Below are 27,709 nucleotides of genomic sequence, written 5' to 3' on the forward strand. Positions count from 1 at the left end.
GCTGGCTGGAGTATTTGGTCCAAGCTCACTCATGAGGTTATTGGCAGGAGGCTTCACTTCCTCACCATATCATGAACACATAGAGCTACTCACAATATGGCAGCTGTCTTCCTTGAAGTAAGGGACAAAAAGGACAGAGAGGGAGAAAGACAAAAGCTACAGTGTCTTTTATAACCAATGTCAGATGACTGATCTACCATCACTTCTGCTATGTGACCAACCCTGGTTCAGTGTAAGAGGCGCCTACCTAAAAGTATGAATTCCAGAAGGTAGGGATCATTGGGAACCATCTTAGAGCATGCCTAGCAGATGCCACTTCACAGTGTATGTAAAATATATGTTTCATATGACTTATATAAATAATACAAAATTGTCTCTGTCCATTACTTGCTTTGAATATTCAATTATACCAGCAGTTCCCAACCTTTTTGGCACGAGGAACCCATTTTGTAGAAGATAATTTTTTCATGGACCAGGGGGTAGGGGGACGGTTTCAGGATGAAACTGTTCTACCTCAGTCATCAGGCATTAGATTCTCATAAGGAGCACGCAACCTCAATCCTTTGCATGTGCAGTTCACAATGGGGTTTGCAATCCTAATGCCACCACTGATCTGACAAGAGGCAGAGCTCAGGCAGTAGTACTCGCTTGCCCGGAACTCACCTCCTGCTGTGCAGCTGAGCTCCTAACAGGTCATGTACCACTACGAGTCCATGGCCCGGGGGTTGAGGACCCCTGAATTATACTGTTGGTGATTTTTCAAATACATGTAATCACTTGCTTTTAAGTTACTTAAATTTGGCTTGTAATTCTCCATGCATTCATTTGGATTGATATGCCTTTATATCAGATCCTAAAATCTGATATATTGTTCCTCGTATTACAAATTCTATTCTTTATCACATAGGCAGTATTATTCTTAGAACATTACAAATGCGTATCAGTAGAACCTAGAAAGTCTATGTATTTGAATAAAACAAAAGTTTCTGTGTAGAACAGGGAAGGGAAATAGATTTTAACTCATGCCATCTCTGTCTGTTGATAATAGCTGTCTCAAGTATTATTTTGAGAAGAATTCTGAGGACATATTCAACTTCACTGATGTATGCCTTGATCAACTGGAGATGTCTGCCATGGGTTTAGAGGGAGAAGTGGTGTGTAGGACACATGCCACATCTTTGCAATCTTTTTCTTCTAGAGTGTATTGCTAGCACATGACAGGAACTCTGCCATGATGAACAGTAATGATGCAACTATTAGGTTGGAATAACAAAATAAACAATGAGAACACCCCTACCCCAAATTTCTTACAAGATGTTCAGTATGTGAGAGCTTTGTTTTTATGACTCTACAGCATAACTAAGTTCTAATACGCATGGTTTCTCTCATTTCTCTCCAGTCAGAATTCATTAATGCCCTAAAATGATTGTCTATACTTGGGTTAAGACAGCCAGTTAGTTTGTTTGCAAGTAGGGAAGAATGGCTCATAATCTATAAGTGAATAAATTTTATTGTTTGCCTATTGTATTAGTTAAAAGCTTCAGTTACATTGTGTCATCTCATTTATAAACAAAGGAAAACACAAAAGACAAGAATTTTAAATTATCGTTTCTTAGGCCCTAACTTTATTTGCTAAGTAGAGCCTAGCTTAGGTAAATCTAATGCAATTAGAAATTAGGGAGATTGGAAAGGGGAAGATGGAAAGGAAGGAATGGTTTCTGAATTAGAAATTTAAAGGGTACTACTTTTAGCTTTTTCTAAATCCTTTACAATTATTTTAGCTTTTTTTTTTTTTCTTTTTTTTGAGACGAAGTCTCGCTCTGTCACCCAGGCTGGAGTGCAGTGACACAGTCTCGGCTCAGTGCAACCTCCACCTCCCAGGTTCAAGTGATTCTGCCACCTCAGCTTCCCGAGTAGCTGGGATTACAGGCACCAGCCATCACACCTGGCTAATTTTTGTATTTTTAGTAGAGGCGGGGCCATGTTGGCTAGACTGGTCTTGAAATCCTGACCTCAGGTGATCTGCCCGCCTCAGCCTCCCAAAGTGCTGGGATTACAGGCGTGAGCAAGCACCTAGCTTATTTTGGCTTTTAGTGGACACTGTCTAACACCCTCCTTCTAAAGATCTCATTAATTTGGGGGCTTTGATTCATTTTCTGTGAATGAGGAAATGTCTACTGACAAATTAGTAAGATCTAAGGCTCACTGGATGAGGTGTCAGGGCAATTTCTATGCAACTTCAGACTAGATAAGGAGAATATGTGTAGGCTCCTCACTCTCTTTTACATGTATAAGAATTCTGGGCATTTTATTCTTAATGAGGCTACAATGAAGAAACCAACAGAGGACTTAAAAGATGAAATATGGACCTTTTTAAATATTTTGCCCCCAAATACTTCTTAGCTATGAATGAGTTGTAAGGTATTGAAATTACTAGATTGCACTTTAAAGCTGTAACCATCCATGTGACAACTGGTTTGGAATATTCATTACCTAGCACAGGGCCTGGTATTTGTAGGGATGATAAATATTTATCGAATGAATATTGTTGTTGGCAGTCTGCGGAAGCAATTGATGGGGAAAAAAATAAGGGCTTTAGTATCAGACAGAGCTAGCTTCTAATGTTTATGCAACCACTTTTAAGTGTGACCTTGGTAGTGGTAAGTTATTTCAATACTCTCTACCCTCTATTCTTGTACAAAAACAAGGATAATAATTTCTATCTATCTCCCCAGATTGTTTTGAGAATTGAATGAAATTTGGGGTAAAAAGCACCTAGCAAAATACCTTGCACATAATGAGTGCTTAACAGCTGTTAGTTACCCCTCCCCTTCCTTATTTTATACTATTGCTATTTGCCAATGGAGGAGTTTAAAATGACAGTATTTACACAACTGCAGATGGAAACCAGTAGCCAAAACCTACACCTGTGCCACTCTCTGGCCAGTCAAAAGCCCTGTGATAGGAGCAGAGACATTGCATTGATCATGAGCCTGAGACAGCTTGCTCAGGATTTTCTGTAAATACCTACAAAGATATGTAGGAATATGAAGTACTGTGTGAGAAATTGTCATGAAATGAAAGACCAGGCAGCTGGCTTGGGTTATTCAGAATGGCAAAGCCCACTAAAATAAAAAGAACATCCAGACCTAAATATTCAGCATCAAAGCCCCTTTTCCCCCTCATTTAACCAATGACAGGTATAACACAGGCATGAGGCATGTTTTTTCACATTTCATTGAGATATTAAAATAAATTATTTGGGGTTTCATAAAGTACTTTGAAAACTCGTAACCTTTCTGAGGGTTAATACTTCTATTTGAAAGGTGTATAATTGTCTTTGCTGCCAGGACCCTTTATTTAGATTTACTAACAAATACTTTTTGTCAAACTCTTTCCCTTCCAAATTTGGTTGCTGTATTAGTCTGCTAGGGCTGCCGTAACAAACCACCACAGACATGGCTTAAACAACAGAAATTTATTTTCTCACAGAAGTCCCAAGATCAGGGCGCCATCAGGGTTGGTTTCTGGTGAGACTCTCTTCCTGGCTTCTAGATGCCTACCTCTGGCTGTGTCCTCATCTGGCCTCTTCTCTTTGTACACAGAGAGAGAGATATCTCTGGTGTCTCTTCTTACAAAGACACCAGTTCCATCAGACCAGTGTCCTGCCAACCCTACAACCTCATCTAACCCTAATTATCTCCATGGAGATCCAGTCTCCAAATACAGCCACGCTGGGGTTTGGAGATTCAACATATGAATTTAGGAGGGACATAGTTCAGTCCATATAGTAGCTTCTCCCAAAAATTACATTTCATAAGGTCCCTAGCAACTTTTTTCTTCATTCTGTAGATTATATTCATTATAGTGTCATACATATATGTATTATTTTTCATGCTAAACGTTTAGCAAGTTTTAGGCAAATTGCAAGAGTTGATCCCAATCGGTGCATTTTCCATTAGGCCCTAGTCTTAGGGGAAGAAGCAGCTTAAGGGAAGAAGAGAAGGGTAGGCAGAATAATGGCCCTCAAAAATGTTCACATCTTATTCCCCAGCACCTGTAAGTGTGAATATACTAGGTCACATGGTAAAGGAGCATTAAAGTTGCAGGTAGAATTAAGGTTGCTAATCAACTAACCTTAAAATAGGGAGCTAATTCTGGATTATCCAAATGGGTCCAATCACGTGACTCCTTAACAGTAGAAGAGGGAGGCAGAAAAAGAGAGTCAGAAAGAGATATGACAGTGGAAGCAGAATTTAGGATATGTTATGTTGCTGGCTTTGAATTTGGGAGCCATAAGCCAAGGAATGTGAGTGGCCTGGAAAAGCAAAGAAACAAATTCTCCTCTAGAGCCTCCAGAACAATAAGACCTGTGTGGGACTTCTGAATTACACAACTATAAGATAGTAAATTTGTGTTGTTTTAGGCCATTAAATTTGTGGAAATTTGTTACTGCAGTAGCAAATGATTACAGGGAGTTAGAAGTAGAGTGGGGAGGGTAGTGGTCCCACTACTGTGTGACCTTGGATGGGGCTTTGATACTCTGAGCCTCAGTTTCATCAATTGTAAAAACTGTAGAGAAAAATAAGGTCTGTGAGATTTATATGAAAAGCAAATTGGGAAATTGGTATCAAAGAATGTTGTAAAGTACAAAATGCTTTCCTGATGTAAAGTCTTACCCAGCTGCCACATACCTGAACATCTGTATCAAATGAATGATCTCAATATTAACAGGGCCAGAGGTCTTCTTTGATCATGCCTGCACTTTGTTACTTAGCACTGGTATTAAGCAGGTACCTCTGTGAAAATCTCCATCCCTCTGTTGGGTATCTGGTGCCTAGAAACATGGCTTTGGCTGCATTCTCATCATTTCAAAGACTAAAAATTCCAGTGTGGTAAAATCACTTCTACGGTTTAGGGACCGAAGGGAAGCGTGAGCTGTTAGCCAGGCCACTTACCATCATATTTATTTGTCTTTAGTAAAGTTTTATACTCTAATAGTTAAAACAAGATTTGCTTAGCTAAAAATAGTATTTGCTTGATGTAAATAATTTTAACAAAACCTGGGATTTGAGTAGGTTGACATATAACTCCAGCTGTATAGAAAATAAACTAGTCAAAATGGTCTGAATTATCACAGTGATTCAACTGTTACATACAACCAAATGTATGAGTAGACCTTTGGAAGTTACTTGGATATGAGAATATTGGTGAGAAGGACTAGTAGTGTTAGTTATTTGGTGACTTTGGAGCTATTTAAATCTTATTTTAATAATGATCAATTTATTTATGCATATTTTCAATAATTTAGGACAGTACACTGGATTACCAAGTCGGAAGATTGTTTTGTCTGATCCTCCATTATAAGTAAGCTTGTCTACCACTTTTGAGTATTTTTACCCAGTGATATGACAATAGTAATGTATCAGTGAAATGTATCCATGCATCAAATATTTATGGACCCCCCTTTCTGTGAGCCTGACACTGGGGCTATAAAGATGAGTAGGACACTTCCCTACCCTCCAGAAACTAACAGCCTATTAGACAAAAATAGATATATGAAGAATTTGTTGCTACATGATGTAAAAAATATGACTGCTGGCACAAAGCCTCTGACTCAGGCTTCATACAAGTACTTTTTATTCATGGTCATCCAGATAACAATTCTTATGCATTTCGTGGTATGTTAGTTTGTTTTCACACTGCTATAAAGATATCACCTGAGACTGGGTAATTTATAAACAAAGGAGCTTTAACTGACTCACAGTTCCACGTGGCTGGGGAGGCCTCCCGCAACTTACAATCATGGCAGAAGGGGAAGCAGGCACCTTCTTCACAAGGCAGCAGGAGTGAGAAGTGCAACCAGAGGAAATGCCAGACGCTTATTAAACCATCTGATCTTGTAAGAACTCAGTATCACAAGAACAGCATGAAAGAAACTGTCCCCATCATCCAATCACCTCCCTCCCTTGATACTGGGGATTACAGGTCCCTCCCTTGACACATGGAGATTACAATTCAAGATGAGATTTGGGTGGGTACACAGAGCCAAACCATATCATATGGCAAATACTTTAAAATATATATATAATAGCTTTAGACATATCATTTATAATCAATGAACTAGTCAATACATCTTTAATTAATTTTATCTTGTAAAGCTGAAGAACCCCTTTCAGATGGTCACTTAATCCATTCCAGAGCCTCCCTATATATTGTTACTGACACCAACCCAGATAACAGAGCCTCAGCGAGGAGTTTAATATAATGGTTAAATTCTCAGAAGTCAGATTTGGGTCTAGATCCCGGCTCTAACATGCACTAGTTTCATGACCTGGAATAAGTTATTTCACCTTTCTTAGTATCAGGTTCCTCATACAGAAAATAAGAATATAATTCTTTCTTGCCTTTAATTTATACTAAGGTCCTAAAAGACAGTTAATTCCATTTAGTCACAAGTCTAAGTTGGCACTATTAGAAACAATCAGTATTTAAAAGTTCATGAGAAAACTGTAGAGGTTGATGGCATGTTTTTATCCCATAATTTTCACCATAATTGAAGGCTTTTCTTTGTAACACTCACTGTCAAGTGGCTTTAGCATTTATACATGACGGAATCAATAATACTGACAAAATACTTCAAGACATTAGAGATGGTCTCATAAGGAGCCTCTCAAAGTCCCTTCCAACTTTGTGATTTTTACAAATCATTCTGTAGTATAATATATATGCTTATATTTAAAATTTGTAGTGTAGTCATTTTAACTCTGATAGATAAACATAACATTAGAATCATATAAATTAGTTGAAAAATATGTTTTAAATTTTAGTTTTTTAAGGTTTTAAATTTGTTAATTAAGAAGAATGTTTAGTCAGATGTTTATTAAACTTCTTTTGTTGATTAAATTAAGTGAACACCTGTATGGCTTGTAATACAATTCTATTTTAATAAGAACACTAAAAATTAAAGTAGCTTCTACATTTTATGCACTTCTACTCGCAGGGGGAATTTAACGTGGAAACGTTGACAGTGGTCTTATGAACTTGTTTCCAGTTAAATTTAGTATTCGTTAATCTGTATTCTGACAGTCTTGATTATTGATATTTAAAGTAGCATAAAAATATATAGCTATTACTTATTTTCTGTATTTTAGAAAGATAGGCTTTTAGTTTATAGAAGTTGTTCATATATTTATTGAGAAAGTAGTAGTCATGGCTTCCTCTTGAAATATTCTCGTCTTGCTTGACAGTGATCTAGAGTGACGCTATCTGAAATAACAAATCATCTGCTTTCAGTGACTTCATGCTCACAAATCAATGCAGGGATTCCTGGTTGATGGGTGTAGCTTTTCTTCAGGTAGTGATGTTGAGACCCAGGCTCCTCCCATCTCATGTCTCTGCCCTCCCTAATGGCCTCAGAGTCCTCTACATTCGGTTGGCGGATAATGAGTGAGAGTAGAGAAGGCACTCCAGCTTCTTAAAAACCCTGACCCACAAAAGATAAACATCAATTCTGTTACCTTCTATTGACAGGAACTAATCACATGCTCACATAAAGATATGAGGAGAGCTGGGAAATGTAGTCTCTGCCTAGGCAGCTGCCACCTGGCAGCAACTCTATGGTATGGAATGGAGAACATAAATTTTTGGTGGACACTGCCAACAGGTATATGAAAAAGTACAAATATACCAACTATACAATCCTATATAATTGTTTATTAGTATCTGATAATTCAGTGTATAGGTATCAGTGTCAGTAGGACATGTTCTTTGTTTTTTTCTGTTTTGTTTGTCCTATTATGATGAAAAACAGCATCAATTTTTAAGAGTTACCCAGGGCTGTACTCTGTCACTACAGAGTTGTTTCCTTCTTTGAAAAATTAATTATATTGGCTTTGTACCTGACATGTTTTAGCTCTATATAGCAATCCAGCCTGTGGATATTATTTGAAAAAATGTAATTAATATTTTCCATACTTGTTCCTCAGGAATTTTCTTTTCAGTGTTTATCTTTTAGAAGTCTAGTGACAACAATTTTTTTATACATAAGTAATATATTACAATAGCTTTAGATTCTTATAATATGATTTGATAGCTCAGACCTAAATATTTTTAATTAATTGGAATTTAAGATTTTAAAAGATAAATGATTTTTAACAGAAATTACCATAAATATATAATAAAAATAAAATTTGTCCTCTAGACTGTAAAGATTTGGATGAGATCCTGCTAATATTTGATCAGAGCCTCACTGGATTTCCAAATGCCTAATTACAAAATGCTCAAAGTGTTCTGTGATATTTACAAAGTTCACTAATGAGAAATATTTATTTTGATTTTAGCGGCATATTTCCAAAATTATGTAAGAGGATACTCCTTATATACCAGTGGGAACAAAATGCCTGCAATTTTCTCTTAAACATATTTTAGAATAGATACTTCCTATTACTAATCTGTAATTATTCTCATAACCAGTGTTTATATAAGATTATATGCTGCTTTATCATGGTTTGGTTACTTTTTAATAATCTCATTGACAAGGTTCACCTTGTGTTCCTACCTTCTCATTTGTTTTCAATTGGGATTAGTTTTTAAGTATAAATCTTTTATTGTCATTACTACTTGCAGTTTATGCCCAGTTGTAAAATTTTCCAGTGATTCAAAGTTACTGGTGCCTGAAACAAATTATATTAACATATAGTTACTTATTTGTCTTTGTTTTCTGTTTTATATAAATACTATATGCATACAATTATCACCCCCCCCCCAATAAAATGACACTGGAAGTTAATTACTTTTGGCTCTTTATTCCACAGCTTTATCTTAAACATGATAAAATAGTATATGCAAATTCACAATGATGTATAAATAGTGCCATCTATGATGGAAGATTAACAAAAGAATGTCTTTCATCATCACAGACGGTTATAAGAATGAATTTCTACAGAACAAGTGCCCTTTTTGTCATTAAATCCTTTTTGTTTAACAGGTTGTCCTAATTTTTATTTTGAAAGAAAACATTTTGCTCCTTTAGCTAGGAGGTAAGAAACATAAGGAGGGTAATTATAATGGGATTTAAATAATTCACTTACATTTCTATGCCAATAATATAAAGCATGTTCTCTTAGGTTTTTTAATAAGCTCTAAAATGTGTCTTTCAGTTTACTAATATTATTTTTTAAAACACACAATACTGTTATCTTCCCAAATCGAATATTATTGTTTTCCAACAACAGATTTGGCAACCATTCAGAGGCAAATAGTATTATGCTTTTGAGATTTTCAAATATATCTGAAGTGCTGTTGACTGCTCTCCAAATCAGGTCAGATGCACTGTCTCTTTAGGAGAATTTGCCAGAGGTACTGTTTGTTCAAATGGAAAATTTTCATGTTCCATAGTAAGCTTCATTTATTTTCCAAACCTCTAAATTTTTTATACTAAATTTTTTATAGCAACATCTCCCTTTATGAACCATGGGGTCTTTATTAATTAAACAATCAACAGGGCTGATTTATTCTCTTATCAGCTGAATTACCAAGCACACAAATCACAGAGGAAATGTTTTTAATACTAGAATGTTCTCCAAGCCAGTAAATCTGGGATTATCTCATCATACCGATTATGTCAAAGCTCTTTAGCCACAGTGCTCACTAGGACATAAAATTGAATGGTATACACACAAATGGCCCCCTTCCAGCATCATAGGAAGAATTCCAAATTTTTCTTACAATAATCAGAAATCCCTAATTATCAATAAAACTAGCTATGATTATTTATTGAATGTCTCCTCTCTGCCAGGCACTTCACATGCATTACCTGAGTTTCAGAAGCACTGTGTCCCATTGGTTCTGGACGTTTTAAACAAAGACCCAGGTCTGAAATGTGTGCTTGAAGCACAGAACACGTCTCTCTGTTGCTTTAGTTTTATTTCTTCTAGTGAGTAGCTGTTGTAATTGCATATTTGATGCTTAGGTGTGTGCGTGTGTGTTTTTAGGCATATACAAAAAATCATATTGTGAATATAAGATTAATCAAGTTATAAGGTTAATCAAATTTTATATTACTTTTGTATTTGGAGTAAGATCAGATGTGATTTGTTGATTAAAAAGTGCTTAATGAAGGTTACTGGCAAAGATGACCATCTGGTAGAACTTTCTGATATTCACCGTTCAGAGTCTATAACTACGTTTTTTTCTTAGACATTTTCCTTTTGATTATTTTAAATTAGCAATTTAATGGAATGTTCATATATGGACAGTTGTAATATGTCAAGCATGAGAATACTATTTATAAAAAGTCACATAGCAAAGCATACTACCTGAACTTACCCTCAGGTAATTGCTCCTGTTTTTCTTCCTTCCCATCTCCTCCAATTATGGAACTTCAAAGGAGAGGGAGGAATTTAAATGATTTAAATTATGGTTTCTTCTTTGGACTAATATGTGCTGATAAACATTAAAGTATTAAAATATATACCAATATTTTAAAATAAGCAAAGCTGTCTCATCAAGCTTTTCCATTTTAGTTTTAGACATGTACTTTGTACAGGGTGATGTGTCCTCATTTCACCTTGCAGTGGCATTCCAGCCCTCTCATGTTACACTCATTAGTATTTCTTTAAAACCACTTTCAAGTTAGGCAGCTCTCCAGCTTTATAAAGGCCTTGAAATGAAGTTAACCTGTGCCGAATCAAATACTTTAGTAAATTTAGCCTCCATAATAAGAAATTCCATTAAACCATTTTAAAGAGATATTAGTAATGTGGATTATCGTCAAGAGAATAATGATTCTTTGTACACTAAACCACACTCTGAGCTTTTGAAGCTGTGAAGATGCCTGGGCCTTGTCACTTTCACCTTGATTCTTAAAGAACTTGAACCCTTTTTATGCCATAATAAAACCGCTAGTAATCTTCTTCCATGAAAAGATACATTTTTAATATTTAAACAGAGGAGCTGAACAATTTGTGTAGGGGGAACATGAACAAAATGTATACTATAGGATTGAAAACAAACCAAACTAATAATAACAGTGGAACTTACCATTTGTACTACCTAACATTTTCAGTATTGTAATCAGTAGCCAATAAAGTGAATGCATTTTTGTGATAGTTCCCAAATTGTGTTCTATGGAACACTGGCCCTGTGTTTGTTAACGGAGATATGTTACTTTGAGTAATATTACATAGTCTTGGAGACTCATAGAGCACATTAGCATATTAAAATCTCTGGGAAATCTTATAGTAAAGAAACCTATTCAATTATGTCAAACTTATTTGACTGTAGAATTATATTCTTCACATAACATTGATTAATTGATTGATGATTGATTGAGACAGGGTCTTGTTCTGTCACCCAGGCTGGAATGTAGTGGATCATACCTCACTGCAGCCTCAAACTTCTGAGTTCAAGCAGTCCTCCCATATTAGCCTCCCAAGTCAGTAACTGGGATTACAGGCATGAGCCACTGTGCCAGGCTATTCTTCACATAACATTTATTTAAAACTCTCGGGAACATACTTTGGAAAATGTTACTTTATAATGTAGGAGGCACTTTCAGATCCACAATCTTAAGTAATCGTTGTAAGTACTGGCCTTCAGATGCACTTGATCTAAGACATGATGCTGCTTCTGAGGTTGAGTTTGGGGAGGACGAAGGCTAGGGAAACTGATCTAGGGTGGATAAAGGCAGTGGGGTAAACCAGGGCTAGAAAGAGTGTCCAAGGAGAAGAAACAAATCCTTGTCCTAATTCGTGCACTCCAGAGTTGGGAAGATGGTGGTGGATTTAGGAGATTCATCCAGCCAAAGGCTGGGAGTAGGACACTAAGTGTAAGAAATACCATCCACCAGGTTAAGAGCATGATTTCGTGATGTGTCACCATTTCCTAGACATACCCAATATCTTTTGTACTTCCTTTCTCATCTCTGCTTGTGTTATTTCCCTGAAACACTTTTCAGGATGCTGGTCATTTGTTCTGAGATCATGTTAGGCCCCACAAATTCAGAGATAAGAAATATAGTTCCTGCCATTAAGGAGCTTTATATGAAATAGGAAGGCCTAAAAATAAACAAGCATTTATAATTTGATTTAATAAGAGATAAGACCATGGGCACAGATTGGAGGATTCTTAAGGGATATTTGGTTTTTTAGAATTAATAAGAGTTAACTTCTCATGGGAAAGGATTATGGGAAAGAAGAAGATATTGTTGGTGGGGTGCAGTGGCACACGCCTGTAATCCCAACACTTTGGGAGGCCAAGGTGGGTGGATCACTTAAGCCCAAGAGTTCCAGACCAGCCTGGCCAACATGGTGAAACCCTATCTCTACTAATAATACAAAAATTAGCCAGATGTGGTGGTGCGCACCTTTAGCCCTAGCTACTTGGGAGGCTGAGGCACGAGAATTCCTTGAACCCCAGGGGACAGAGGTTACAGTGATCTGAGATTGTGCAGCTGCACTGCAGCCTAGGTGACAGAGCAGGACTCTGTCTCAAATACATAAATAAATAAATAAATAAATAAAAATTTTAAAAAGCAGGTATTGTTGAGGCAGCTAAAAAAACAAAGTATTTCATTGAATGTTTAGCAAGTGAGTAACAGCGTATGATTTGTCATTTAGAAAGTTCTTTGGCTGCAGTAGAGAATGAATTAGAAAAGAACTAGAGCAGAGGCAGGGAGGCAAACCATTTCAGTGACCCAGACTATTTCATTGAAAAAGGAGAGCAAGAAACAGATTCCAGAGATGTTACAGCAAGGCAGTCATTGGACTTGCTGACTTACTGAATGTCAGATACTGAAACGAAAGGAGTTAGAGATGCTGCATTCACCTGCATTCCTTTTTAACCAAAGAAGAAAGAAAGAAATGGTTTTCATTGAAGCTTAAAATGTGTCTAAGACTTATTAAAGCTATTGGATCTAGTTCTAACTGCTTCCTATCACAGGGACTTTACTAGGGTAGAAGCAATGTCACCAGGATCAGTACTTGCATGGATGAGTAGAAGGACAGTCTTTCAGATTCTAATTGCATTCTTGTTCTTCTCAAGTCATGTAACACAGACTACATCCTGGATCCATCCCGTGATGAGTGTCCTGAATCTATCTCGCTCAGAGGAGAATGAAGAGGATTGCTCTAGAGAACTCCCCAACCAGAAAAGTTGATGGTTTTCCTTAGGAAGTGGAGCTACATGGATGATGTGAGCAGAGACGCATAACATCCAATTCTGAGATGAAACAGTCTAAAATAGGAGTAAAGCATGCACTACTTGTTGAAGTGTGAAATGGAGACTCTGGACTTTGGGTATTTTTGTAAAACTTTTGATATTTCTGTATACATTTAAAAAATCAATTGCCACTACAGTAGTTCCTTAAGAATAATCTAGTTATATTTTTTGAAATCACATATAATTAGACTTTATAATATATATACTTTTTCATATATAATTAGATCTTTCTTTGTAATTTCATATGTAGTTCTTCATAGGGTCTCAGATACAATGGTTTTTATAATTGACATATTGAAAAAGTATATGAACATAATGAAACACCTCATTTATTTGATAATTCACTAATGTTTTATATTCATATATTAGGAAAGTGAACTTAGCAAGCTTTTTGGAATTTAAGGATCACATTTAGACATCTCATGGGCTGATGAATACAGCTGGTATCTTTGTGGAGCTTTCTAATTTACAAAATGCTTTGTAGACCCCATTGTCTTTAAACCATACAACATGCCCGTGAAGCTGATCTGGTGGGTATGTTTATTCTTGGTTTTCAGTAGGGAAATAGCAGTTCAGAGAGAGGAAGCTCTCTGTCCCAGCACCGAGACTCACTCCTAAGTCTTCTGATTCCATGAGCAGTCCCCCTTCCCCCATACCCTGCTGTCTCCACGGAGGGAGGTCACAGCCCATCACGCAGGACACTGTGATTGTGTTGATGCAGCTGGCTCCACAGCTGTGCATTCCACAGAGATTCAGAAGGCACCTCTTCGGTCAAACATGGCCCCTCTATAACCCCACTATTCTTCTCCTATAAACCCTTCCCCCTTCTCTGCACCCAAGCCTTCGCCAAGTAGGCGCACTCTTTGTGATATTGTTTCAGCAGACTTCTTTCAGCAGCTCGTGTTTTTCTAAAGTGAAAGGCATGGTTTGTCCTGCTTAGGTTGCCCTTCCCAGAGGGATGGTTTGAGGGGAGCTGATGAGAAGAGAGGTATCTGTTAAAACATTACTGCTCTACTCGAAACAAGATGGAAGCCTAAAGCCCAAGTCGAGCAGCTCCCAGCACTGCTGTGCAGACCTAGAGGTCCTTAGAACATAGTCTAAGAACCATTCATTGTAGCCATTTTATAGTTGAGTAAACTGAGATCTTAAGTCTCCTAGTCTACTGAATTTCATATGGTGTATAATACAGATTTATATGGTAAAGATATACATATACATTGTGCTCAACTATACATTCCTGAATCCATTTAGGATTTGTGATTTATGTCTTGAGTAATAATATAAAGTCAACTCCAGACTGATAGGTAGTCATTAGCCATGAGAAATGTTTCAGGATGGCTAGGGAAGACTTGTGTTTTGCCTGACAGCCATTTGAATGTTAGGAAGCTTCGGGGAGACAAGTTTTGAGAGAAGCCCCAGAGGGAGCTATTTCCTTGCACCCCCCAGAGGTGAATGAGGTATTCTATAAGTTAGTGTCTATAATTGTGAAAGTACAAACTTCTTGTTTTTGTCAAATTAATGGTATGAAATTTCTCTCCCCCTGCTTGAAGAGTTTTCTAATTCGTTTCTAGTGAGCAAAACAAAGAAGGTGCTTGAGTCACTGAAATCAAAGTACTCAGGCACACAGCCCACTGACAAGAGACACCTCATCCATTAACTGCTGTTTTGTACCACTTGCCGCCCTGTTTCTGTCAAATACCTAGTGAAAAAGGCCTAAACAATTGTAATGATATTATTTATTGGGCATTTTGTGCCATACATGGTGATGAGCAGTTTGCATATATTTATTTATGATCTTCTTAAAACCATTCCATGAAATAGGAACTGTAATTATCCCCAATTCTAAAAGAAAAAACTTAGTTTTAGAGAGTTAGTAATCTTTGCCTAAGGGTCACAAAGCACCTATGTGTAGAAGCTAGGGTTCAAGGCAGATCTGTGATTCCAGAAGCTGTTCTCTAAACCACTATGGAGAACTGCTTAGATTCATTGTCTATGGGTACATTTTATAAAAAGGCAGATTCTAGTTCAGTGTCATAAGGAACTTTCTAGTAATTAGAGCTGATAAGAAAAGAATTCCCCAGGAGAAAATGGAAACACTATCCCAGCAATCTGAATTCCTTACTTGGGGAATGTTGCTGAGGAGGTTCAGTGTGTGAATGGACTGAACCAGTTGGCCACTCTCTCAGATTCCCTCTTCATAAAGCTTCCGTGACTTCTAAACCATCAGGTCGGTGCCATAAGAGATGCTCAAAAAAGCATGGTCAGGGCTTAGCAAGAATCCTTTTCCAGTGCAAATACGACCCTCATATTATGTTTTGGCGAGTAGCCAGTCTTTCTTTAACATCAATCAACCGTAGCAATGTGGTCATCACGAAGTCTTCATTGACTCACTGGCTTGGATTTTAGGGTTAGAAAATCTGAATGTTCTTATGTCCTTCCGTCTCACTTTACTAGAGTGCCCAAGTTGACTCATCCTTACTCACTCATTCCCTCAAAATATTTATTGAGCACCAACAATGTCACAAGCACTGTGCTAAACACTGTGGTGAAGTAGAACAATTGCTAATCATTTCCTGGGTTCCACTTACTCTTGATTTAAAAAAAAAAAAACAACAAAAGAGTTTGTGTGTGGCCAGGACTAAACAGCTGCTTCTTAATTTTTGAATTTTAAAACTAATCTATTTTATTTAAAAAAAATCAAGTACTTTGGAAGTGAATAAAGTAAGAGATAGCCTGTCTCACTTTCCAGAGGTAGCAGTCACTAATACTGTGGTGAGTGATTTTACTCAAAGGAAATCACACTATTAAGCAGCTTGGTTTTGACATGTTATGTTGTGGTCATCTTTTCATGTCAATACATAGATTAATCTTTTATTTCAAATGTCTACATAAAATATCACTACCCACATAACCTATAATTTGTGTGGCCAGCAATTTATTGAACACTAAAATGTTTTAAGTTTTCTTATTGCTAACAATGTCACAGTGAACATTTATATATTCATTAAATCCTTTTCCTCATGTATCTTTGCACTCTTGTGCTAGTATGTCTATAGTGTGAATACATTCATAAATTTCTTGATCAAAGCTAGGTCAAAGTTACATTCATTTTAATTTTGGTACATATCCATAAATTCTCCATAAAAGTAGGACCAACTTACATTACCACCAATAGTGTATGTGAGCCTTATTTTTATGTATGATAGGACTTTTTTTAGTCCAAATGTTCCTATAGATTTTCTGGGTTTTTTTTTTTTTTTTGTCCTTGGAAGAATAACCTTCCTTCCACCAAGTCCAAGAACCTGAGATTTTTAATCATTAGGTTTTAGATTTCCTTTAGCAGCAGAGACTGACTTGCTGTATAGAGGGAAGTCAAGTAGTGACTAACTCACTATATGTCAAACACATCATTACTCTTCTCTTTTCCTACTTTACATGTAATGGTTGCGAGGACCAACTTTCAAATGAGCTAACTTGGGTGAGACGTTCACTAAAGTACCAAGCACAATACAAATGCATCTTCGAGTTCTTTGGGCCTCACTTTCCCTATCTGAATAATAAGGATAGTAATCCCTTGCCTTTTCTCAAACCAGTTCAACTCAGCAAACACTTCCTGAGCACCTGCTACATGCCAGGCAAAATGTGAAATTTGCATGCTATGAGGCTAAATGGTACTGATTCTCAAAACAAGGAGCTCATAGTCTAAAACCATTTTTCTTTCTTTTTTTTCCCCCTAAACAACCTCTTAAAGGGGTAAGAAGTTAGGGGGTTGTTTATTAAGAACCCCTGAAGAGCAACCCTTTACCACTCTCTTAAATTTGAAAAATTCCAAAATAATATTAACACCTCTTGACTAGAAAAGGAAAAAAAAGGAACATGCCGTATGAAGAGCCTCTCCAATAATAAATGCAAAGCAGCTGTCAAAATATAGAGTCAAGTGATACTTTCATAAAGTGTTTGCACAATTAGAAAATGTTATCCTTTTTCTCGGGAGAAATGGGACATTTTTATTTTCTCTGCTAAGTGAAATGCAACTTTTTGAAGAATCAACACGCTTGACATTTTTACAATGTACATAAAGAACTGAACTATTATTAAAACAACTTACACACTCCATTGCTTATAACTTTTGAGAGAATGAAAAGAACCTTAAACAGAATGTGCCTGTGGAGCTTCGCTTTAGAAATGAAATACCCAAGGTGTTTTAACTACAACTGTCTACATGTAATAGTGTGTCTGCATAATGACTTTGTAAATATTAACTGCAATTCTGTATTTGCTTTCTTGATATGACTTTTAACATTTAAACTTATACTGTTTCTGTCTACTTTTTTCAAAAGTTCAATTTTTACTTTTGGGGGTTGGACTGTTCTGAGGGAAAGGGCGATCAGATCAATAGTTCTGTCCCCCATTCCATTCCCCCATCACCCAATTATTCTCTATATCACTCTACCCTGTTTATTTCTTTTTTTTTTTTTTTTTTTTTTTGAGACGGAGTCTCGCTCTGTCGCCCAGGCGGGACTGCGGACTGCAGCGGCGCAATCTCGGCTCACTGCAAGCTCCGCTTCCCGGGTTCACGCCATTCTCCTGCCTCAGCCTCCCGAGTAGCTGGGACTACAGGCGCCCGCCACCGCGCCCGGCTAATTTTTTTTGTATTTTTAGTAGAGACGGGGTTTCACCTTGTTAGCCAGGATGGTCTCGATCTCCTGACCTCATGATCCACCCGCCTCGGCCTCCCAAAGTGCTGGGATTACAGGCGTGAGCCACCGCGCCCGGCCTATTTCTTTTACATTATTTATCAGTTTGCCCTAACCTTGTTTTGTTTGTTATCTTCCTCAATAGTGGGAGTAATAATGGGAGTCAGCTTCGTGAGGGCAGGGATTTTGTCTTCTTGTATTCATTTACTCACTTACACACTTACCGAGAGCTACTAGAGGCCAGACACTTCACTGAGTAGTAGGGATACAATGTGAGATATATGTGTTTCTAGCCCTTGTGTAATTCGTATTCTATGCAAAGGATATACGATTGAAATTAACCAAAACTTTTTCCATTTATTTTCTTTCTCCGCATTCTTTATCAGATATTTGAACTACTGGACCATTTAATGTTCATTACGTTAACAAAGAGTGTGATATCAGAAAGCAGAAAAAAGCATGTTCTTTTGCATTTCAAAAATTTAGCTCCTTGGGGAACTAGAAAGGATTTATGATTTAGGTCAAAGATTTGAGAGCACATATGATGAGGAAGATGAGGCTTTCTTACTCACTGTCTAGGAAATAATTCTCCTGGCTGTGAGAAGGAGAAAAAAGAACAAAAATGTTGGTAGGGCACAGAGAAGGACCTGGGCTTAACCTTCTGGACCAAGTTCCAGGGAGCAGCAAAACCTCAATTACATTTGTCCCCTAGAATGGAAATGATTATGTGGTATGTTTAGGCAGTGGGACCTTGGACAACGCCAGTGAGCTTCCTCCAGCCCAATGTGGTCAACATTGGAGGATTAGATTGATTTCTGTGAACCCAAAAGGATCACAGGAGTAGCAATAACACCTGCTGGACCTGAATGAGGATCTTTTCCATTCAATCCACATGTTCTCTCAATGGAAATCAATTCGGACAATAACATTAGACCATCTTAACCCAGAGTGCCTTAGCACTAGATAAGCCTCTGCTGTGGTCTGGATGTTTGTGCCCAGCCCCTAATTTCATATATTGAAACCTAACCCCCAAGGTACCAGTATTAAGAGGTACGGCTCTGAGGAGGTGATTAGGTCATGAGGCTCCATCCTGGTGAATGGGATTAGGACCCTTATGAAAGAGGCTTCAGGGAACCTGTTTGCCCCTTCTGCCTTGTGAGGATGCAGCAAGAAGTTGCCATCTTTGAAGCAGAGAGCAAGCCCTCACCAGAAGCTAAATCTGCTGGCATCTTGATCGTACACTTCCCAGCCTCCAGAGCTGTGAACAATACATTTATATTGTTTATAAATTACCCAGTCTGAGATATTTTGTTATAGCAGCTCCTGAATGGACTAAGACAGCCCACAGAGTTTAGCAGTGACCCCAAGGAAAGGAAAGAACTGCAAGTTGCCTGAGATTAATGTTGCTCAGGATCCATTTATTCCCTATTCCTGGTGTTTCTTTGTAGAGAGTGCTCCATTAAAGTAACACTTTTGTCCTGTCTCTGCTTCTTCCTTAGGCAGCGATTTACCTAATTGGTGAGTTTAGGATTAAAAAAAGGAATACATCCTAGAACATTTCTTAAATATATTCCCTTTTCTCTGTTTCATGCAAACATGGCTTATTTATTTTTCAAGTCTTTCTCATTTCTTACCTGGATGCTTTCAACACAGGTGATATAGCTTCTTCCTTCTCCACCACACCTGTCCCCATCAATCTACCCATCACATTTCTGTCAGAATTATCTTTCTATAACACAAAATTGCTTCTATTCCTCCCTTGCTAGTCTTCAGTAGTTCCCTAGCACCTTCTACTATCTGAGTCCCTGGCTTTCTCCCTAGCCTCATGTCTTATCACCAACAGTTGCTCAGATATACTGTTTTCTGTCTAGGAAACTTCTCTTGCCCCATTCCTGCATCAGATTTCTTCTCATACATCAAGATTCTGCTCTCATTTTACCTCTTCTTTGAAGAGCTCCTTGACACATGCTGCCTTCCCCATGCCCAGAGCTGGCACTCTATGGATGCCATGCCTGCATTTTTACACACCTGCCCAACCCCACTTCCCACTCAGGAGTGGTAGAGCAAGAACTTCCACCTCAAGAGAGTTGCTGGCCTGTTTGTCCGGACACTCATTTGGTTACTATATTTACTAATTTACTTTTATCTACTGAGCTGGGTTACTGAGTCTTAGAGGCTTGAAATCTGGTTCTACCTTCTCTTTCTCCATGTGGTAATGAAAACCGGAACTCTGGTTAAAGCTAAGTGGTCTCTCTCACTGTGGCTGTTCCACTCAACATCAGTAGCTAGGTGAGTAAATCAGGTGGAGGTGGGAAGGAAATGGGAAAACAGAATACTGGCCAGGATGGTCTGTTGTTTCTTATCTGTTGTTGGCTTTGGGGTATTTTATTCTAAAACCCTAGAGGCTGAGAAGGTTAACTGGAAGGCTTCCAACTCTGAAATCCTACCGCAGTCCCCTATTGCTGCATACCTTTTAATAAAGTATCAATCACACTATATATGTAATTAATTTGGATAGGAAAGTAGGGCATGTGTCATCTCTCCTAGTAGACTGTGAGTCCTTTATTACTGACTCAGAGTCCATATATTATTTTTTATTTCTCATGCAAGACATGACACAGTAAAATCTAATAAAAGTTTACAAAATAAATTTAAAATGTAACATTAACATAAAAAACTCTTTTAGCTGTTTCCTGCTTCTGGCAGGGAAACAAAGATTGAATTAAGAAGGAAATGAGGTGGGGGTTTAAGTAAGCATGTCTGTACTAACTAGTTCCACTAATGTGGGAACAATATAATGGATTTTGCTGAAGAAGGAAGTGTATGCTACTTAAGTTGGGCCATAAAACTCACAGTATGATCGCAGTAAAAGGATTGTAAAGCACATACTCACACATTGTTGATTTGCCCAAGGTTCTGAAGAAATACCACAGAATGATTTTGGTATAGAAGGGTAGATAAAGCCTGAAACCAAAATACAAGGTTAGTGCATTTCAGAGCAGCAGCAAACTTCTGTTCTTATGGGTTAATTAATCATGTTACTGAAGAATTGATTTGGCACAAGGGAGCTATGTATTGCCACAGAACTCTGAAATTGCAGAAATTATCTCATCTATAAGTAACCCCACTGGAATTGCTTGACTGTTCTGTTTCACAGTGGAGAAATTCATCTTTCATCAGCACACACGAGAAGAGACAACAGGAAGACAAAACAAATTGAGTAGATAATAAAGTTACCTTATAGGAATAGGTAATATAGACAGGTAAGGTCAGAAATTTCTGTGGAATGGAATATGAAAAGATGTTTATGAGCAGATTCTATTTCTTTAGGCAGTTTTATCATTCAGAGAAGTAATCTATGCATTTAATCTAATGCCAGCTTTTATTTTTCTTTGGTGATTACCACACAAAAATAAGAAGTTGGCACCAAATTAAATGCATGGATTACTTCTCTGATAAAAGTACTCGATATAAGGGAAATTTGAAGGAAATAGAATGCATACATACACACACATACACTTAGTATATGTGTGTGTGTGTGTGTGTATATATATATATCTGTGTGTATATACACACCACACACACACACACACACACGTATTGGAGGAATAAGAAATATTTAATAAAATCTACACAATTTCAAAAATATGACCAAATACTGGTGGTTCCTCATTTACCAGTAGAACTCTCTCTACAAATGGAAAGTGAGAAGTCTATGAAGTTACCTTAGTTTTTCCAATTAAGACTGTTCATTGATTGTATTTCTTCTGTCTCTATAAGTACCATATTCCCAATTAGTATTTCATCAGTTATAAGACCCATCATTATTTTGTGTGTAACTGAAAATGAAAAAAAGATTTAAAATATGACTTAGTAGTTAGAATTTTTATCTTATACGCCTTTAAGTAAATACAAGAGAACTGTTTCAGCATAGATTTTTAAAAATCATGTGTGTAAAAGAGAATGAAATATTAATTATGATATTTACAAAGCTCTGTACATTCAGAATTGAACTCTTTCTGCATCTCTTTTTTGAATCAGAGTTGTCATAAACCACAATTTTTCACGGTAACACCCTCTCTGCCATCAGGATAAATAACATTTCTTAAAGGAATATTCTACTGCAGTCTCTGAGATTTTTTTCCCTGTCTTAGACATCCATTCTACAACTCTGATGCTGGCACATTTTTTATCTTGGCAAAAGGACTTAATAGAAAAATTTTAGATAACAATCAGGATTCATACTCTTCTCAATAGTCCTTAAATGGTTTATTGACCAAAAAGTAAAGAAGTAACAGTCCAGTCATATCATGGAAAGAACAACCAAATTCATGCATGCACAGGCAAAGACAACCATATCACTATGACCACCTGGCTGACAGTAACTGCAGGACATCAATTATTGTAAGACACTTCCTGTAATATGTTTAATTCCTCTGACATAAGGATTTATGTGAATTAGGAAGTGGCCCAAGGGTGAAAAGTAATAGGGAAATAGAGAAATAGAACCGATCCAAAGGAAAGGGGGAAAAAAACCCACAAAAAGTGTGATGTCAAGCAAAGCCTATTCTGGAGATGACTTTGGTTCACTCCCACGGGAGAGCCCTAGAGACAAAAAGGTTCTACAGTAGGTTCAAGTCAGAGGCCAGAGAACCCAGAGTATTTATACCTCTGCACCATCAGTTATTGAATGGGGGTGGGGGTGGGGGTGGGTGTAAATTTCCAGGTGCTTCCAGCCTGCAATGCAGTCAAAGCATGTTCCTGTAGCCTGAGGACAGCCGTCCAACAAAGAGGTGCAGGTGCTGAATGTTGAGAGTGAAAGCACAGGGAGCTGTCATGCATGAGAGTGGTAGAGGGATCTGAAAGTGCTAGCAGTGCCTATTATACATCCAAATACTAAAGACGCTTAGATGTGAAAAATGTGTGTCTTAGAATCGATAAAATATGGTATAGAGAATCAAGTCTCCTTGTTCCTGGTTTATCTCATAGCATACTTAAAATTCAGCTAAAGATGAAATGCCTTAACAAGTGAAATGGGCTTTCTGAAAAATTATTTCAATCAAAATTGTGTTAAAAGCTATTTCTAAAAACCCTAACATGAAATACTTAGAAGAGATCAAGTGGTTTGTCCCTGGACATTCAAGCAATTGAATGTCTAAACAATCCAAGACAGATAATTTTGTAGTATTTACTGTGTGAAGTGAACCTTTAAGGCTGTGGACAATGCAAACTCCCTCATGTACCTTGCTCCTTGCCAATTTCAAACAAACCTTCTCACCTATGATATAAGGCTTCCTTAGAATTATTGATTAATTATTTAAGATACAATAAAACCAAAGTATTTTTAAAACACAGTAATTATGTTAGTGCAGGTACATGACATAGATATCCTCAAATATTCTTAGGACATCTATAAATCACCACAAACATTCTGGAAAGCAGTCTTGGAACATCTATCAAAGGCCTTAAAAATTTCTTCTTCTGTGAATTTATCCTCACAAATGACCCCAAGTTTAGACCAAAATAAAAAAATGCTTAAAAGGCTTATTAAAGCATGATTTAAAATAGAAATGATTGCCTAAATTCCTGAAAACAGGGGAATGTCTAAATAAAATATGGTATCTAACATGATAGAAAATGTTTACTAATGTTTAATGATACCAAGAAAGTATCACAATAATAACATCAAGTGGTAATAACAGGAAACAGATCTGTATACAATATAAAACCAACAGTATTGTATATATAAACACCATAGAAGATCTGAAAAAAAATTAGATGACATTATTTGTGATATCTATTTTATTTATTATATTTTTCTGCATACTACTCTACAGTGAGCCTGTCCTTTATAAGAAAAAATGCTAATGATTTATTGTGTATGAAAAAAGTGTATCTGATTTGATTATATATTTTTATTTCCACTTATATTTTCTAGGATTATTTTGCTTTAGAATTCTATGTATAATCCTGTGAAAATTTGTAGTGTTGTAGGGACTGGAAAGATCAGAGATTATGTTATGGCCATGAATGAGGCCTGACCTGCATTGTCAATAACTAAATTGATTATTGTGGAAACAACAAAAAAATTCATTTTTTGAAATGAAAATCTTTATTGAAATAACTATTTTACCATTGTGTGGTCAGATTCACTGCATTTGATGCTTTTTCAGGATTTGTTTTTCCTGCTAGAAATGCTAGAGTTGTCACAGATGTGATATTTATGTTTTCATTGTCTGGGGAGGGCCAAGTTTCATGACAGAGAAAGACTGGGGCCAATTCTGTGATTATGGATGTCAACTTATCTCAGAGCAGTATCATTGGTTGAGCAGTCCTGCAGGACATCTAAGTTTACCGTCTTTATCTTGCCATTGTCAAAGATCCTGGACCTATTTTTTTCTGCCTTGAAAACTTTTGTGCAGTAAAACCAGCAATGGATTTTAGCAGAGTTGATGCATCATTAGGATTTTCACATTAACTCTTTGGACTTAGAGCCATGTCTAAAGTGTCCTTCTTTTGGATATAGTGCCTGGTGCAGAACTCTACCACAAAACATCAGGTGTGCCTCTGAATAGTCTTTGCAAGAAGCACAAAATCCTAGAATTGAGGTGAATTTGTAAGTTCCTCTAGTCCAACCACCTTTCAAATGAAAGAATCCTTCCAAAGCACCCCTGGCCAATAGCTCATCAAGATTTTGCTTAGATATTCTTATTGAGGGGGAACTTACTAACTCCTTTAATTCTTATTTTGCTTAAGGCTGAGTTTTTAAAACATCTAACATCAGCCAAGATTATTGATTTATCTATAAGGAATAATCTGTGAATTAACCTTCTGTAGCTTTTCCTTGCTGACCAGGGAATACCTCCCCATTGAAGCCTAGGCCAGATTCCAGTCCGTTTTGACCATACCCCATCATGGTATTTTAGAGTACACCTGAATAAGATACATGGTGCCATGTACATGGAAACTGACTGCTCTCATGTTACGGGTTGAACTGTGTCCCCCCAAAATTTGTATGTTGAAGTCCTAAAATTGGCACTGTTGCCATAAGCCAGGGAACTACCTAGGAGATGCTAGGAGAGAGGCCTAGAATGGAACCCTCCCTCCCCCGCCCCTGGGGCCTTCAGAGGGAGCGGTGCCCAGCTGACACCTTGACCTTGGACTTCTAGCCTCCAAACTGTGAGACAATACATTTCTGTTGCTTAAGCCACTCAGTTAGTGTGCTTTATTTTGGCAGTCTTAGCAAACTAATACATCCCCCAATCCAGAACTGTCCTCCTTTGGATAATAAAAACAGCAATAATTATAGTGTCATTACCCTGAGTGACTGGTCCCACTGTTGGTCATTCTTTGTAGATGTGAGTTATTGCCCTATTGAGATCAGAAGTCCTCTCACTTAGAGGCATATCTAAGACTTTTTTCTTGTGGAGGGAGCTCACTCAACTGTAGGTAAGGTTTGACTCATCTGGGTTAGTAGTAAGAACAAACTTCCAAGTGGCACCATCTTAAAGGTGCAAGCCCATGTGGGCGATGACCAGGTCTGGTATATTAAGAGGCTCTTGGTAGCACATTAGAAACACCTGGAGAGATTTTAAAATTTACAAAGCCTAGCCAAACCCCAGACCCATTAACCCTGACTCTCTGAGAATAGGACCCTGGCACCTGTGTTTTAAGGATTCTAGGTGATTTCAATGTGTAGCCAAGGTTCACTGCCATAGCCTGTCCTGGAATGCAGGTAACTAAAACTTCAGCAGATTATGAAAAACAAAAGTTACTTTCTTGGATGCATATATTCTTATAGCCTCAAAACTGAAACTGCAAACTGAACAATGCTGCAGTCAGATACACACACATATTTCAACTGCATAACTTCCTTTAATAATACTTTTATTTTTCCAAATTTGAAGACTGTCCCTAAGTCATTTCTTCTAAAAGTTAGTAATAATCCCACCAACTCACATTTACATAGAAGTTACAGTTTAAAGTTTGCATCTCGTAATAACTTGGTGAGATAGGGCAAGCATTATTTCTAATTTGCATATGAGAAAAAACTAAGGCTCGGATGAGTTATGTGACTTCCCTGAGTCATGTTAGAGTAACTAACTCCTGATTTGTAAACTGAAGGTCCCAAATCCTGGGAACTCCCTCAGCTCTGGGCAAGCCAGGACAGGTAGGTCACCCTGCACCTACACAAGGACTGAGCTGAGTTCTAGTTACCTGCTGTGAAGGACTGTAGAGGTTATCTAAGCCAGCTCCTCCTTTTACTGGAAAAGGAAAAGACTGAGATAAGTTTCCAAAACCCCTGCTGGAGCACCTTCTACTTCTAGAAAGATGTTGAGGGGCTTCCAGGGCACAAAGGAAAGAGAAGTAACTGTGTCTCCTTCCCCAACCATGTATGTGATACATTCATTCTCTAGGATTGGAAATTCCCAGAAAGCTGTGTCAGCAATGAGATTTGTTTCATTGTTTTGCCTTGTTTTGTCATTGAGTTGTTATAGTTAAAGTTTATTATTTTTTAATGCAGAAAAAAGTGACTTTTGGGGGAGTGCAGAGTTCTATGAATTTTTAACACATGTCTAGTTATTTGACCACAACCGTAATCAAGATACAGAACAGTTTTATCATTTCAAGTGCTCTCCTGCTATGCTTTTATAACACACCCTTCCCCACCCCAACTCCTGGCAATTACTGCTCTATTCTCCGTAACTGTAGTTTTGCCTTTTCGAGAATATCATATAAATAATCATGTATTATGTAACATTCTGAGACAGGCTTCTTTCACCCAGCATAATGCCTTTGAGATTCATCCAGATCGTTGTGTGTATCAGTAGTTTGTTTTTATTACTGGGTTATAGTTCATTGTATGGATATACCACAGTTTCTTTAGCCATTCACCCACTGAAAGTCATTTGGGTTGTTTCTAGGCTTTGGTGATTATGAATAAAGCTGCTATCAACATCCACGTATTGGTTTTTGTGTGAACATAAGTATTCATTTCTCTAGATGAAATACCCACAAGTAGGATTTCTTGATTTTGTGATATATATGTTTTCTATTGTTGCCCTTTAAAATTACATGAATTTAGTGACTTAAGCATTACAAATTTATTATCTTACAGTTTTGTAGGTCAGAAAGGTCTTAATGGGCTAAATTCAAATTATCAGCAGGGTTGTATTTCTTTCTGGTGGCCGTCAGAGAGAATCCATTTAGGTTCAGTTCCTTGAGGTCATAGAACTTGCCTTTTGACCCCCTTTATCCACCTGCAAAGCCAGCAATGGCCAGTCAAGTCCAGTCCCTTCATGTACATCTCTTTCTAACCCTTCTCTCATCCTCTCTGAACTTTCTTCCATTGTCATATCTCTCTCTCTGACCCAACCATGAAAGGTTATCTGCTTCTAAGAATTCTTGCTTAGATTGGGTTCACCATGATAAAATTCAGGATAATTTCACCATTTCAAAGTTCATCTCTTAATCACATCTGCAAAATCCCTTTTGCTTTTCAAGGTAACATCTTCATGTGATCTGGAAATTAGGGTATGAGCATTTGTAGGGGAGAATGTTATTCTGCCTGCTTATCTTTTCAAGAAACTTCCAAGCTGTTTTCTAGAATGGCTGTAGCATTTAATATTCCCATCGGCTGTGTATGAGAGTTCCAGTTGCTCCATGCCCTTGTCAACACTTGGTACTGTCAGTATTTTTTATTTTAACCTTTCTCATGGGTATGTAGTGGTATTTCATCATGGTTTAAATTTGCATTCTTCTCATGGCTAAAGATGTTGAACAACATTTCA

At 37.4% G+C, this 27,709-nt stretch overlaps 1 protein-coding gene across 7 annotated transcripts in view, besides 1 other annotated feature; it reads left to right on the forward strand.

The window, feature by feature from the left end:
- Positions 1-27,709, forward strand: part of STXBP4 (syntaxin binding protein 4) — a 244,509-nt gene that overhangs the window by 177,988 nt on the left and 38,812 nt on the right. For 5 of the 7 annotated variants that reach the window (XM_017024410.2, NM_001398481.1, XM_017024411.3 and 2 more), the window contains one exon: positions 13,045-26,880. The exons of the other annotated variants lie outside the window; for them this stretch is intronic. In XM_017024410.2, coding sequence (XP_016879899.1) covers positions 13,045-13,159 — 115 coding nt within the window. In that variant the 3' untranslated portion in view covers positions 13,160-26,880. Of the gene's footprint in view, positions 1-13,044; positions 26,881-27,709 lie in introns of those variants that run through there. 7 annotated transcript variants of the gene reach the window in all.
- Positions 25,718-25,767: an enhancer, noted in NCBI's record as "active region_12414". NCBI's record gives its function as "activates an Ori minimal core promoter by ATAC-STARR-seq in GM12878 lymphoblastoid cells {active_cell/tissue: GM12878}" and the evidence as "EXISTENCE:reporter gene assay evidence [ECO:0000049][PMID:35858748]".

This window comes from Homo sapiens, chromosome 17, assembly GCF_000001405.40.
Source record: "Homo sapiens chromosome 17, GRCh38.p14 Primary Assembly".
Taxonomy (NCBI): Eukaryota; Metazoa; Chordata; class Mammalia; order Primates; family Hominidae; genus Homo; species Homo sapiens.